Source organism: Homo sapiens, chromosome 15 (genome assembly GCF_000001405.40).
Source record: "Homo sapiens chromosome 15, GRCh38.p14 Primary Assembly".
Taxonomy (NCBI): domain Eukaryota; kingdom Metazoa; phylum Chordata; class Mammalia; order Primates; family Hominidae; genus Homo; species Homo sapiens.
The window spans coordinates 24630005-24645112 of NC_000015.10; the positions used below are offsets into that span (position 1 = coordinate 24630005).

At 40.8% G+C, this 15108-nt stretch overlaps 1 annotated feature.

Annotated features, from left to right (window-relative positions):
- Window positions 2239-2745: an enhancer, noted in NCBI's record as "NANOG hESC enhancer chr15:24877390-24877896 (GRCh37/hg19 assembly coordinates)". NCBI's record gives its function as "activates a minimal SCP1, AML or CMV promoter by ChIP-STARR-seq in naive H9 embryonic stem cells {active_cell/tissue: H9 hESC(naive)}" and the evidence as "EXISTENCE:reporter gene assay evidence [ECO:0000049][PMID:30033119]".

The window sequence follows — 15108 nt, forward strand, 5'->3', positions numbered from 1 at the left end:
GCCTGTAATACCAACACTTTGGGAGACCAAGGCAGGTGGATCACGAGGTCAGGAGATCAAGACCATCCTGGCCAACATGGTGAAACCCTGTCTCTACTAAAAATACAAAAATCAGCCAGGCATGGTGGCGTGTACCTGTAGTCCCAGCTACTCAGGAGGCTGAGGCAGGAAAATCGCCTGAAAGCAGGAGGCGGAGGTTGCAGTGAGCCAAGATCCTGCAGCTGCACTCCAGCCTGGGCAACAGAGCGAGACTCTGTATAAAAAAAAAAAAAAAAAAAAAAAAAAAAGTAACAAGGTGTATTTAAAGCGGCAGTACACTCTGAAAGCTGAGTCAGGACAGGCTGCTAGAAAAAGGAGACAGCGAATATTAGCACTGGGGAAGCTGCTTTATGGGGAGTCTTACATGATTATTCATGAAAGGTGTATAAAGGGCTGTTACTAGCAAGCATGTTTTGGGTGGTCTCCTGGGTGCACATGCCTTGTGGCCAAATGTGCTCGTACATGCATCGCATGTCATATTAGCATCTTAAATCTCCAGTCAGGGGTGTATTTTTTACTATTATAATGAGCAAAAGGCCACTTTTAGGGTGACAAGAGGGAAGTGCACATGCTTGCTACTGGGGAAAGTCCCTACTGAAGTTACCTCCCATTAGGTCCAGGTAAGTCCCAGTTTAGGGCCAGATAAGCCTAACCACAAGTCCAGAAGTGGCTATTGTTTTCTTCTGATTGACAGTGGGCACTGGTTCCTAGTGGAGTGAAGTTTCGAAGGCTTCCTTTGCCAGGACTGCACTTCTCAGGGCCGCCTTTTCTGTTCATGTTTGTCCATCTGCCTAGTCTAACAGACGATCCACTTAGGAAAGCAGAACACTCATTATCCATCCAATCACCTCTTAAAGGTCCCACCACTTGATACTGCCACACTGGGGATTAACTTTTAAAATGAGTCTGGTGAAAGACAAATATTCCAGCCACAGCAGGTGCCAGGAGATCTCCTGTATTCTGGACATATTCTTCCATACCTTCATTGTGGAGTACTAGTTCAATTTTCCCCTAGTAGTCTGGATCAGTTACCCCAACAAACACTACAACTCACTTCTTCACCTGTTATTTCATAACATGAGGAGCCCAGTGTGGCTGAATGGCAGTCTTAACCTTCAGTTCAATGAACTAATTGGTGTGTCTTTAGTGGCAACATTCCTCTCTCTAGAATTAAGACCTCTAGGCCAGCAGAGCATATTGTTCCAGGAGCAGAAAGTAAATATTTCACTAGGGAGACATTAAGAGTAATATGAGTGGTGCCATTCTCATTTTTGTCCCTGGATTCCTAAATCTGTAATTCTGGTTTGGGGAGAAAGAGTATTATATAATGGTTGCTGATTCACGGCATATACAGGATTCTAGAGAACCTTGCCCCATCCCTGAAAAGTATTGTTACCTAGAAGGTGCTGCAACTGTGAGTCCCAAAGGCTATTCCACCATTTATCAAGCTAGTTCCTTCAGGATTATGGGGAACACAGTAAGACCAGTGAGCTTCATGACCATAAGCCCACTGCTGCAATACTTTGGCTGTGATTTGAGTTCCTTAGAGCTAATGTTGTGTGGAATACAACGATGATGAGTAAAGCATACTGTTAGTCCACAGATTATCGTTTTGGCAGAAATCTTGTGTTCAAGGAAGTAAAATCCACATCTAGAGTAAATGTCTATTCCAGTAAGGGCAAAACACTGCCCCTTTCTTGATGAAAGATACTCAACATAATCATCCAAAAACTGGTAGTTTGCTGATCACCCTGAGAAATGGTGTCATATCAGAGACTCAGTGTTGGTCCGTGCAGCTGGCAGATGGACCACTCAGAGGGAGCCACAGCCAGGTTGGCCTTGGTGAGTGAAAGTCCTGTTGGTGTGAGCATGCATGATCATCCCTGACACCATGGTCACTTTATTCATTAGCCTGTGGTGCAATGACAAGTGTGGCTGGAGAAAGAGGATAACAAGTATCTCAGAATGCATTATCCCATCCACTTGATTATTGCAGACGTCCTCTGCTGAGATAACACATTGGTGGACATTCACATGGAAACAACTGTCTTCACTTTTTTTTGCCTCTTCCCTTTTTTTGTGGATAGACTGTGGTACAAACTTGTATAATAGATCTCTTCAAGGAAGGATAGAAGAAAAATTAACAGTATAAAATGTAGGTAGTGTACCTGCATCCTTCTTTGAGGAGACCTGGCTGCTGTTTCTTACAAGGAGTTCTGGGACTGTAAACTGGCTGAAGTGTGAGAATTGAATGTGGGGCTATGATTCTGTGCTTTTTTATGACTCCAGTTAGACTTTTGCTTACTTGAGCTGAATTTTTTCTGCTTCTTCAGACCAAGTAAGCCTTTAGAAAGCTTTCTATCTATTTACTTTTTAAGAACACCATGGCTAACTAGCAAACATCACAGATACATAGGAGTCAGAACAATTTGATTGTTGCTTTGCCTTTGCTGCTCATTTACATAATAATGCCGACTAGCCTTTGAAGGTTGATTGCTGTCACTTGGCCCCAAGGCCCCCTGAGATCCAACATTTCCATTGCACTTAAATATTTTAAGTGATGGTCTGTGGTTTCCATTATAAGATCTAGCCTACAGGGAAGAGAGATCACAGAGTTCTTAAGACACACTGGGGCTTCCCACACTAATCTATTTCTCAAAGTATCATTAAAAAGTATGTCTTCTGGACCTTCTCTGTGTGGGTCAGTGACAAATCCACTCTAGCATTTCACTCTCCCCGAGTTTCTAAATTCCTTCCTCAAAGGTAAACAAAGAGAGATAGAGCATCTCCAACTTGTTCATGGTAAACCACTCTTAGAACTAGAATTCAGCCAAACGTTGCAACAAACTGCTAACACCATTCCTAAATCCCCAAGCTGTGACATTTGAAGCAGAATATTTGCTTAGTGAGCTCATATCGATAAACTTGTCCTCATCCAACTTTATGTTCCCTCCACCATTATTCTGACTGTTAGAAGGAGATTTTTCAGTGCTGCAAAATAAAAGAAAATAGCGCCACTCGCATATAAATTTTCTCAGCAAGGCAAATTTACTCCTGCAGGAGGGTGCCCCTCGTAGGTCTGGTCACCGTGAGAGCACACACAAACAGAGGAAAGCAGAGGTTTTTATTATCTCTAATGCAGCTCATTCCCTGTTTACTGTGTCCTGCCTCCATTGGCTGGAGTTGGATCACACAATGTAAGCTAAACCCAATTGGCTAACTTGAAAAGTGCAGGAATGCAGTTATACCAGTAGGAAGGTGGGAAGATCAGTTTCGGCGAATGTAGCTGTTGCAATGGGAGGGGTAATTCACAGAGTGGGTAGCAGATGTGGAATGTGGGCCCTATAGATAAGGACCAGCAGGAAAGTTGTTTACCAGGGCAGGGGGAACACAGAGAGTAAGGAAGTCTGGCTTTGAAAGCAGGGAAAAAAGGACAAGGAAATTTAAGAAGGCTAAACCTTTGAAGAAGAATTTCTTACTGTATTCAACACTGACCCTAAAAATCCATTTCCACAAATGTTCCCAGATTCTGCTTATATAAATTAGAAAACTCAAGTAGTTTGTTTCAGTGTGGTGCACCTTCTCATGGGTCATGCATCATATATTACCTTTATGGCCTGCTAGGACTTGAGTCTTATAGGTCTGGAAGCAAAAAATGTGGCTGGAGTAGGGCCTGAAGAGAAGCAACATTGTATTCCTTGGCAACTGCTTCAGGGAAGCTCATTACTTTTTCCTCATGCAATGCAGCGTTAATTTCCCCAGACAGAGGTGAAAGGGCCTATACATACACTGTTGGGGGGAAGGCCACTGCCATGGGGATGTGTGCGGGAGGCCACTTCCTCTGACAAACAAGACTCATCAGAATTTCTTTCTTTCTTTTTTATTTTTTATTTTTATTATACTTTAAGTTCTAGGGTACATGTGCACAATGTGCAGGTTCGTTACGTATGTATACTTGTGCCATGTTGGTGTGCTGCATCCATTAACTTGTCTTTTACATTGGGTATATCTCCTAATGCTTTCCCTCCCGACTCCCCCCATCCCCACCCCATGACAGGCCCCGGTGTATGATGTTCCCCTTCCTGTGACCAAGTGTTCTCACTGTTCACTTCCAACCTATGAGTGAGAACAGGTGGTGTTTGGCTTTTTGTTCTTGCGATAGTTTGCTGAGAATGATGGTTTCCAGCTTCATCCATGTCCCTACAAAGGACATGAACTCATCCTTTTTTATGGCTGCATAATATTCCATGGTGTATATGTGTCACATTTTCTTAATCCAGTCTATCATTGATGGACATTTGGGTTGGTTCCAAGTCTTTGCTATTTTGAAGAGTGCTGCAATAGACATACGGGTGCATGTGTCTTTATGGCTGCATGATTTATAATCCTTTGGGTATATACCCAGTAATGGGATGGCTGGGTCAAATGGTATTTCTAGTTCTAGATCCTTGAAGAATCACCATACTGTCTTCCACAATGGTTGAACTAGTTTACAGTCCAACCAACAGTGTAAAATGTTCCTATTTCTCCACCTCCTCTCCAGCACCTGTTGTTTCCTGACTTTTTAATGATCATCATTCTAACTGGTGTGAGATGGTATCTCATTGTGGTTTTGATTTGCATTTCTCTGATGGCCAGTGATGATGAGCATTTTTTCATGTGTCTGTTGGCTGCATAAATGTCTTCTTTTGAGAAGTGTCTGTTCATATCCCTCGCCCACTTTTTGATGGGATTGTTTGTTTTTTTCTTGTAAACTTGTTTTTCTTTGTAGATTCTGGATATTAGCCCTTTGTCAGATGAGTAGATTGCAAAACTTTTCTCCCATTCTGTATGTTGCCTGTTCACTCTGATGGTAGTTTCTTTTGCTGTGCAGAAGCTCTTTAGTTTAATTAGATCCCATTTGTCAATTTTGGCTTTTGTTGCCATTGTTTTTGGTGTTTTAGACATGAAGTCCTTGCCCAGGCCTATGTCCTGAATGGTATTGCCTAGGTTTTCTTTTAGCGTTTTTATGGTTTTAGGTCTAACATTTAAGTCTTTAATCCATCTGGAATTAATTTTTGTATAAGATGTAAAGAAGGGATCCAGTTTTAGCTTTCTACATATGGCTAGCCAGTTTTCCCAGCACCATTTATTAAATAGGGAATCCTTTAGCCATTTCTTGTTTTTGTCAGGGTTGTCAAAGATCAGATGGTTATAGATGTGTGGTATTACTTCTGAGGGCTCTGTTCTGTTCCATTGGTCTATATCTCTGTTTTGGTACCAGTACCATGCTGCTTTGGTTACTGTAGCCTTGTAGTATAGTTTGAAGTCAGGTAGCATGATGCCTCCAGCTTTGTTCTTTTGGCTTAGGATTGTCTTGGCAATGCGGGCTCTGTTTTGGTTCCATATGAACTTTAAAGTAGTTTTTTCCAATTCTGTGAAGAAAGTCATTGGTAGCTTGATGGAGATGGCATTGAATCTATAAATTACCTTGGGCAGTATGGCCATTTTCATGATATTGATTCTTCCTATCTAAGAGCATGGAATGTTCTTCCATTTGCTTGTATCCTCTTTAATTTCATTGAGCAGTGGTTTGTAGTTCTCCTTGAAGAGTTCCTTCACGTCCCTTGTAAGTTGGATTCCTAGGTATTTTATTCTCTTTGAAGCAATCATGAATGGGAGTTCACTCATGATTTGGCTCTCTGTTTGTCTGTTATTGGTGTATAAGAATGCTTGTGATTTTTGCACACTGATTTTTGTATCCTGAGACTTTGCTGATGTTGCTTATCCACTTACGGAGATTTTGGGCTGAGACTATGGGGTTTTCTAAATACACAGTCATGTCATCTGCAAACAGGGACAATTTGACTTCCTCTTTTCCTAATTGAATACCCTTTATTTCTTTCTCCTGCCTGATTGCCCTGGCCAGAACTTCCAACACTATGTTGAATAGGAGTGGTGAGAGAGGGCATCCCTGTCTTGTGCCAGTTTTCAAAGGGAATGCTTCCAGTTTTTGCCCATTCAGTATGATATTGGCTGTGCGTTTGTCATAAATAGCTCTTATTATTTTGAGATACGTCCCATCAATACCTAATTTATTGAGAGTTTTTAGCATGAAGGGCTGTTGAATTTTGTCAAAGGCTTTTTCTGCATGTATTGAGATAATCACGTGGTTTTTGTCTTTGGTTCTGTTTCTGTGCTGGATTACGTTTATTGATTTGCATATGTTGAACCAGCCTTGCATCCCAGGGATGAAGCCCACTTGATCATGGTGGATAAGCTTTTTGATGTGTTGCTGGATTCGGTTTGCCAGTATTTTATTGAGGATTTTTGCATCGATGTTCATCAGGGATATTGGTCTAAAATTCTCTTTTTTTGTTGTGTCTCTGCCAGGCTTTGGTATCAAGATGATGCTGGCCTCATAAAAATGAATTAGGGAGGATTCCCTCTTTTCTATTGATTGGAATAGTTTCCAAAGGAATGGTACCAGCTACTACTTGTACCTCTGGTAGAATTCGGCTGTGAATCCGTCTGGTCCTGGACTTCTTTTGGTTGGTAGGCTATTAATTATTGCCTCAATTTCAGAACCTGTTATTGGTCTATTCAGGAATTCAACTTCATCCTGGTTTAGTCTTGGGAGAGTGTATGTGTCCAGGAATTTATCCATTTCTTCTAGATTTTCTAGTTTATTTGTCTAGAGGTGTTTATAGTATTCTCTGATGGTAGTTTGTATTTCTGTGGGATCGGTGGTGATATCCCCTTTATCATTTTTTATTGCATCTATTTGATTCTTGTCTCTTTTCTTCTTTATTAGTCTTGCTAGTGGTTTATCAATTTTGTTTATCTTTTCAAAAAACCAGCTCCTGGATTCATTGATTTTTTTGAAGGGTTTTTGGTGTCTCTATCTCCTTCAGTTCTGCTTTGATCTTAGTTTTTTTCTTTCCTTCTGCTAGCTTTTAAATGTGTTTACTCTTGCTTCTCTAGTTCTTTTAACTGTGATGTTAGGGTGTCAATTTTAGATCTTTCCTGCTTTCTCTTGTAGGCATTTAGCGCTATAAATTTCCCTCTACACACTGCTTTAAATGTGTCCCAGAGATTCTGGTATGTTGTGTCTTTGTTCTCATTGGTTTCAAAGAACATCTTTATTTCTTCCATCATTTTGTTATGTACCCAGTAGTCATTCAGGAGCAGGTTGTTCAGTTTCCATGTAGTTGAGCGGTTTTGAGTGAGTTTCTTAATCCCGAGTTCTAGTTTGATTGCACTGTGATCTGAGAGACAGTTTGTTATAATTTCTGTTCTTTTACATTTGCTGAGGAGTGCTTTACTTCCAACTATGTGGTCAATTTTGGAATAAGTGCAATGTGGTGCTGAGAAGAATGTATATTCTGTTGATTTGGGGTGGAGAGTTCTGTAGATGTCTATTAGGTCCACTTGGTGCAGAGCTGAGTTCAATTCCTGGATATCCTTGTTAACTTTCTGTCTCGTGGATCTGTCTAATGTTGACAGTGGGGTGTTAAAGTCTCCCACTATTATTGTGTGGGAGTCTAAGTCGCTTTGTAGATCTCTAAGGACTTGCTTTATGAATCTGGGTGCTCCTGTATTGGGTGCATATATATTTAAGATAGTTAGCTCTTGTTGTTGAATTGATCCCATTACCATTGTGTAATGGCCTTCTTTGTCTCTTTTGATCTTTGTTGGTTTAAAGTCTGTTTTATCAGAGACTAGGATTGCAACTCCTGCCTTTTTTTGTTTTCCATTTGCTTGGTAGATCTTCCTCCATCCCTTTATTTTGAGCCTATGTGTGTCTCTGCACGTGAGATGGGTCTCCTGAATACAGTACACTGATGGGTCTTGACTCTTTATCCAATTTGCCAGTCTGTGTCTTTTAATTGGAGCATTTATCCCATTTACATTTAAGGTTAATATTGTTATGTGTGAATTTCATCCTGTCATTATGATGTTAGCTGGTTATTTTGCTCATTAGTTGATGCAGTTTCTTCCTACCATCGATGGTCTTTACAATTTGGCATGTTTTTGCAGTGGCTGGTATCAGTTTTTCCTTTCCATGTTTAGTGTGTCCTTCAGGAGCTCTTGTAGGGCAGGCCTGGTGGTGACAAAATCTCTCAGCATTTGCTTGTCTGTAAAGGATTTTATTTCTCCTTCACTTATGAAGCTTAGTTTGGCTGGATATGAAATTCTGGGTTGAAAATTCTTTTCTTTAAGAATGTTGAATATTGGCCCCCACTCTCTTCTGGCTTGTAGAGTTTCTGCCGAGAGATCCGCTGTTAGTCTGATGGGTTTCCCTTTGTGGGTAACCCGACTTTTCTCTCTGGCTTCCCTTAACATTTTTTCCTTCATTTCAACTTTGGTGAATCTGACAATTATGTGTCTTGGAGTTGCTCTTCTCGAGGAGTATCTTTGTGGCATTCTCTGTATTTCCCGAATCTGAATGTTGGCCTGCCTTGCTAGGTTGGGGGAGTTCTGTATAATATCCTGCAGAGTGTTTTCCAACTTGGTTCCATTCTCCCTGTCACTTTCAGGTACACCAATCTGACGTAGATGTGGTCTTTTCACATAGTCCCATATTTCTTGGAGGCCTTGTTCATTTCTTTTTACCCTTTTTTCTCTAAACTTCTCTTCCGACTTCATTTCATTCCTTTGATATTCAGTCACTGATACTCTTTCTTCCAGTTGATCGAATCAGCTACTGAAGCTTGTGCATTCGTCACGTAGTTCTCATGCCATGGTTTTCAGCTCCATCAGGTCATTTAAGGACTTCTCTACACTGGTTATTCTAGTTAGCCATTCATCTAATCTTTTTTCAAGGTTTTTAGCTTCTTTGCGATCGGTTTGAACTTTCTCCTTTAGCTCGGAGAAGTTTGATCGTCTGATGAGTTGAGAGAAGAAGGCTTCAAAGTCATTCTCTGTCCAGCTTTGTTCTTTTGCTGGCGAGGAGCTGCGTTCCTTTGGAGCAGGAGAAGTGCTCTGATTTTTAGAATTTTCAGCTTTTCTGCTCTGTTTTTTCCCCATCTTTGTGGTTTTATCTACCTTTGGTCTTTGATGATGGTGACATACAGATGGGGTTTTGGTGTGGATGTCCTTTCTGTTTGTTAGTTTTCCTTCTAACAGTCAGGACCCTCAGTTGCAGGTCTGTTGGAGTTTGCTGGAGGTCCACTCCAGTCCCTGTTTGCCTGGGTATCAGCAGCAGAGGCTGCAGAACAGCGAATATTGCTGAACAGCAAATGTTCCTGCCTGATCATTCCTCTGGAAGCTTCGTCTCAGAGGGGTACCCGGCCGTGTGAGATGTCAGTCTGCCCCTACTGGGGGGTGCCTCCCAGTTAGGCTACTCGGGGGTCAGGGACTCACGTGAGGAGGCAGTCTGTCCATTCTCAGATCTCAAACTTCGTGCTGGGAGAACCACTACTCTCTTCAAAGTTGTCAGACAGGGACATTTAAGTCTGCAGTGGTTTCTGCTGCCTTTTGTTAGGCTACCCCCTGCCCCCAGAGGTAGAGTCTACAGAGGCAAGCAGGCCTCCTTGAGCTGCGGTGGGCACCATCCAGTTCGAGCTTCCCAGCTGCTTTGCTTACCTACTCAAGCCTCAGCAATGATGGGCGCCCCTCCCCCAGCCTCACTGCTGCCTTGCAGTTCAATCTGAAGACTGCTGTGCTAGCAATGAACGAAGCTCCTTGGGCATGGGACCCTCCGAGCCAGGCGCAGGATATAATCTCCTGGTGTGCCGTTTGCTAAGATCGTTGGAAAAGCGCATTATTAGGGTGGGAGTGACCCGATTTTCCAGGTGCCGTCTGTCACCCCTTCCCTTTGCCTCGCCCTGCTTTGCCTCACACTCAGTGGGCTGCACCCACTGTCCTGCCCCCACTGTCCAACGAGCCCCAGTGAGATGAACCTGGAAATGCAGAAATCAGTTGGAAATGCAGAAATCACCTGTCTTCTGTGTCACTCATGCTGGGAGCTGTAGACTGGAGCTGTTCCTATTTAGCTATCTTGGAGACTCATCAGAATTTCAGAGCTCAATGTCTCCAGCCTCATCAGTGTTTTCAGAGGTTTCCATTCCAATTTACAAGATCCCATTCTTTCCCAACTAATGCCCTCAATTGATAGTAGGTCCCTTGCTAGACCAGGAGTTCAACTTTCATTGTAATTTAGCCAATTGTGTGATTTGGGCTTGTCTTTGGATTTTAGCAATTTTGGCCCTGTGGCTACAGGAGAGATTATTCTTGTAATAGAGCAACTTAGCTTCAAACTGCATTTTAAAACTTTTTTTTCTTTCCTCCTTTCTCTCCAGTCCCAAAATGTAGCTTTGAGACAAACTACAGATGTGTTTCACAGCCTCAGAATGTTTTTGTTCCTCCTTTCTTCCCAGTCTCAAGATGTGGCTTTGAGAAAAACTAGAAATACGTCTTCTTTCGTCTTGACATACAGTCTCAGAATGTGCTGTGAGCCTCCGCTCCCTTTCCCTTTCTTGGCTTATGCTCCCAAGCCTTATGCACATTTATTCACCTAGATGCTCGTTAAGCACATACCATGCTCTCTCATCTGATATTTTTTTTAGGAGCTTCAGAGGCTGCGTCCTGATACAGACCAGACATCTCCGGAATTCCCTTTCTGACAAAAGATTACTTCAAGGCCAGAACCCACTCCTGGCTAAACATTAACTATAAGAGTGACTGCCATTGATTTGTAACTTGGTTGAGCCCACCATGGTGCTGGCCCCTTTGCTAGATGGAACAATAATTCAAGACAAGTCACTGGAGTGGGTTACATCACCTGACACCTCTTAGTTCCTTGTTTCTCATGCATTCCAAACCCCTCTCTCTAAAAAACTCCATATTCCCTCCACAAATTGAAAAGTGGAAAATTTTGGAAAGAATTCCACCCACTCTTCCCTTTGCTAGCACATATATAAAGCCCACTCTCTTTCTGTCACAGCTTGCTCTTGTTGTTTTGGCTTTTTTCTGTAAGTGGTGAGCAGCTGGACCCTTTTGCTGGTTACATTTTCACTTAGAGCACACTTAGAACCTCTAAGCCTACTTATGTCAAGATGGATCTCAAAATTTGTTTTTTCTTCATCACTTTGCCTAGCAACATTAGAAACAACCAACTAACATAATTGTATTCCTTGGTTTTCCAAGTCTGATATGACCCTCACCATAAGTGTAGCATTATCAAAGGTCCTAATTAACAGATGATGATAATGGAGGAATACTCGTGGACAAGATGAGTTAAAAAGTGATTCAGAAGAGTTTGGCCTGACTGAGAGAAATTTTGGAATACTTTCATTCATGTATTTTGCTTTTATATTCCATCACATATGATCATAGGAGTGTTTTAAGACAAATAGCCACATTTATAAAAGTTCAAAAGTTATTTTCAATAATTATGAGATAATTATGCTGGCAGATGGAGCCGTCAGAGGGAGCCGTAGCCAGGTTGGCCTTGGTGAGTGAAAGTCCCTGTTGGTGTGAACACGCATAATCTTCATCTCTGGCACTGTGGTCACTTTACTCATTGGCTACTTGTGCAATTATAAGTGATAAATGATAATTATAAGTGATAAGTGCTATAGTTTTTCACTGGTTTTATGCTTGTGACATAAAATAATGAAGTATTTATACGTGATGCACATGATACTTCCTGCAAGTACTTGGAAAAAGCAGTCACTATTAGCAAATGCTGATGTAATGTGTACTACTGAACAATGATTAGACTACACATTTTATGTATATTAGTTCACTCAATTCTCACATCATCTCAAGAGGCAGACAGACACTATTAACTCTCTCAAGTTCTAGTTCTGAATCTGAACCAAAATTCTATAGGAAGAGGAACAATAGAAGAGATTCTGAAGAATGAGAAGTGAGGCAAGCAAACAGGAAAAAGGAAAGAGAAGAGAAAAAAGTGTGTCTGTAGCACAGGCTAGGGTGTGAGAAGAGGGCAGTGGTATTAGCAGACTGCTGGGTTCAGTGAAATGTAAGGATTGCAGGAACAGGAAGGGCAGACCATGGAGGGACTGAGCCAGTGAGAGAGGGCAGCTCAGGCAGTGATGTAGCAGCAACTCAGAGAGGAATACATTCTGTGTAGAGGAACTTTAAATGTCTAGATCTAGTTTCTTGAAATGTTACTTTAGCCCATGTGGTCTGCCCATCAGGAAGACAGAACAATTGAGGATGGTCGCTGCCCTCTGGGGATAGACATGAGCACTATCAGGAGGCTTTGAGTGTGGGGAGGACAAGGATGAAGACAGGCAGAGAGGACCCTAGGCAGGCTGACTGACAGTATCATGGACTTGGATGTTCCTGTTCACTTCTCTTTCTCCATTACTCCAATTCCCCACTTTACCCCACCTGCAGGTTCCTGTCCTGTGTAGAACACCATTGACATAAATGACTCCATCTTAGAAAAAATACTCCATCTGGCAGCTTTGCATTTCTCTTTGAAGAAAATCCCAGAGACAGCCCACAACCCTTCTGCCATTGCAGCTGCAGTGGTACTGCCCTAACTGCCCTCAGGCAGAGAAAGGAACAAATGGCCTAAGCACTACACTGGCATCTCCAGCACACTGTAGCCACCATATGGAGAGGAGCCCAATTTCTCTTCCCTGCGAGTTCCCACCCCCAACTCTTCAACAGTCAAGGCCCTGGCTCAGGACCACAGAGCAGCTTCCCCACCCATTGTTGAGCATACCCACTAGTAGTGGCTCTGTGTTTCCCTGGGGAAGTACTCCCAGTGGCAACTGACAGCCCCCGTGCCAGTGCCACAGCAATGGCTCAGCCCTTGCTTTCCTCAGTCTGGGGAAGAAACAAAGAGCCTGAGGGTTTCACCTGAGCTTCCAGTACACTGCTGATGATCAGTAAGAAATTATCTGCAGGTACAAAACTTAATGGTAATAGTAAGCTCACAGAAAAACACAGAATAGTGTAACACTGTAATTTTGGTGTGTAAATTATTCATAAGTAGAAAGACCAAATGATTAACCAATCAAAATAAAAACTTTGGCAATTTTTCAAGACATAGACTGCATGTGTAAGACATAAAGAAAAATAACAAAAGTTAAAAAGTGTAGTATGAAGTTAAAATGTAGAGTTTTTATTAGTTTCCTTTTTGCTTGTTAGGTTGTTTCTGCAATCACTGCTATCAGTTTAAAAACAATGGGTCATAAGATAGTATTTGCAAGCCTCATGGTAACCTCAAATTGAGAAAAACATATGATGGATATATACACAAAAAAGCAAGAAATTAAAGCGTACCACCAGAGAAAATCACCTTCACTAAAAGGAAGACAGGAAGGAAGGAAAAGAAGGAAGAGAAGAACACAAAACAACCAGACAACAAATAGCAAAATGGCAAGAGTAAGTCTTTACTTGTCAATAACGTTGAATGTAGATTGACTAAACTCTCCAGTGAAAAGACAAAGAGTGGCTTAATGGATAAAAAAAAGGAAGACCCAGTGATCTGTTGCATACAAGAAACACACTTCACCTATAAACTGAAAATGAAGGGATGGAAAAAAGTTATTCCAATGGAAACCAAGGAAGAGCAGGAGTAACTTAGGGTAATCAGACAAATAGATTTCAAGAAAAAAAAACTATGGGAAGAGACAAACAAGGACATTACATAATAATAAAGGGGCCACTTCAGCAAGAGGATATGACAATTGTAAAAATATACCTATCTATATCTATATATATAGATACATATGTCTATATATATAGATATATATGTCTATTATATAGATATATATGTCTATATAGAGATATATGTCTATATATAGATATATGTGTCTATTATATAGATATATATGTCTATTATATAGATATATATGTCTAAATATAGATATATAGATAATATAAATATAGCTATATCTCCAGCTTTGGAGCACACAGATGTATAAAGCAAATATTATTAGAGCTAAAGAGAGAGACAGATCCCAATATAATAATAGCTAGAGGCTTTGATACCCTACTTTTAGTATTAGGCAGATCTTCCAGACATAAAATCAACAAAGAAATATTAGACTTAATCTGTACCATAAAACAAATGAACTCACTAGATATTTGCAGAACATTTTATTCAATGGCTACAGAATACACATTCTTCTCCTCAGTATAGACAGACCATATGTTCACAATACAAGTCTTAAAATATTCAAATAAATGAAGTAATATCAAGCATCTTCTCTGAACACAATGAAATAAAACTTGAAATCAAAAACATAAGGAATTTTGGAAACTATACAAACATATGGAAATTAAACTACATGCTCCTGAACAACCAGTGAGTCAATGAAGAAATGAAGAAGGAAATTGAAAAATTTCTTGAAACAAGTGATAATCAAAACACAACATACCAAAACTTACAGGATACAGAAAACGTGGTACTAAAAGAGAAATTTATAGATATAACTACCTGCATCAAAAAAGAAGAAATAAATAACCTGACCAAAAAAATATAACTAGATTGTTTGTAACACAAAAGATAAATGCTTAAGGGAATGGATAGCCTATTTACCATGATGTGATTATTATATATTGCATGCCAATATCAAAGTATCTCACGTACCTCATGAGTATATGCACCTACTATGTAGCCACAAAAATTAAAAACTAAAAACAAAATTTAAAAACCCCCAAAAACAAAAGGCCATTCCACCAATCAGTCAAGTCAGGTGCATCAAGATTATGAGTAGCATGGTAAGGCCAGTGAATTCCATGAGCAAAAGTCCATTGTCACACTTGTTTGAGTTTGAAGTAAGTTCCTTAGTCAGAAGGAATGCTGTGTGGAATACTACGACAGTGGATAAGGCATTCTGTAAGTCCAAGGATGACATTTTTGGAAGAAACTTTGCATACAGGGAACATAAATCTATGTCCAGGGTAAGTGTCTGTTTCAGTAAGAACAAAACTCTGTCCCTTCCATGATGGAATCAGTCCAATGTAATCAACCTACCCTCAGGTGTCTAACTGATCACCTCAGAGAATGGTGTCATATTGTGGGCTCAGTGTTGTTCTCTGCTACAGCCAGATTGGGCATTCAGAGGTGGCTATACAAATAAATTATATATCAGTTTTATT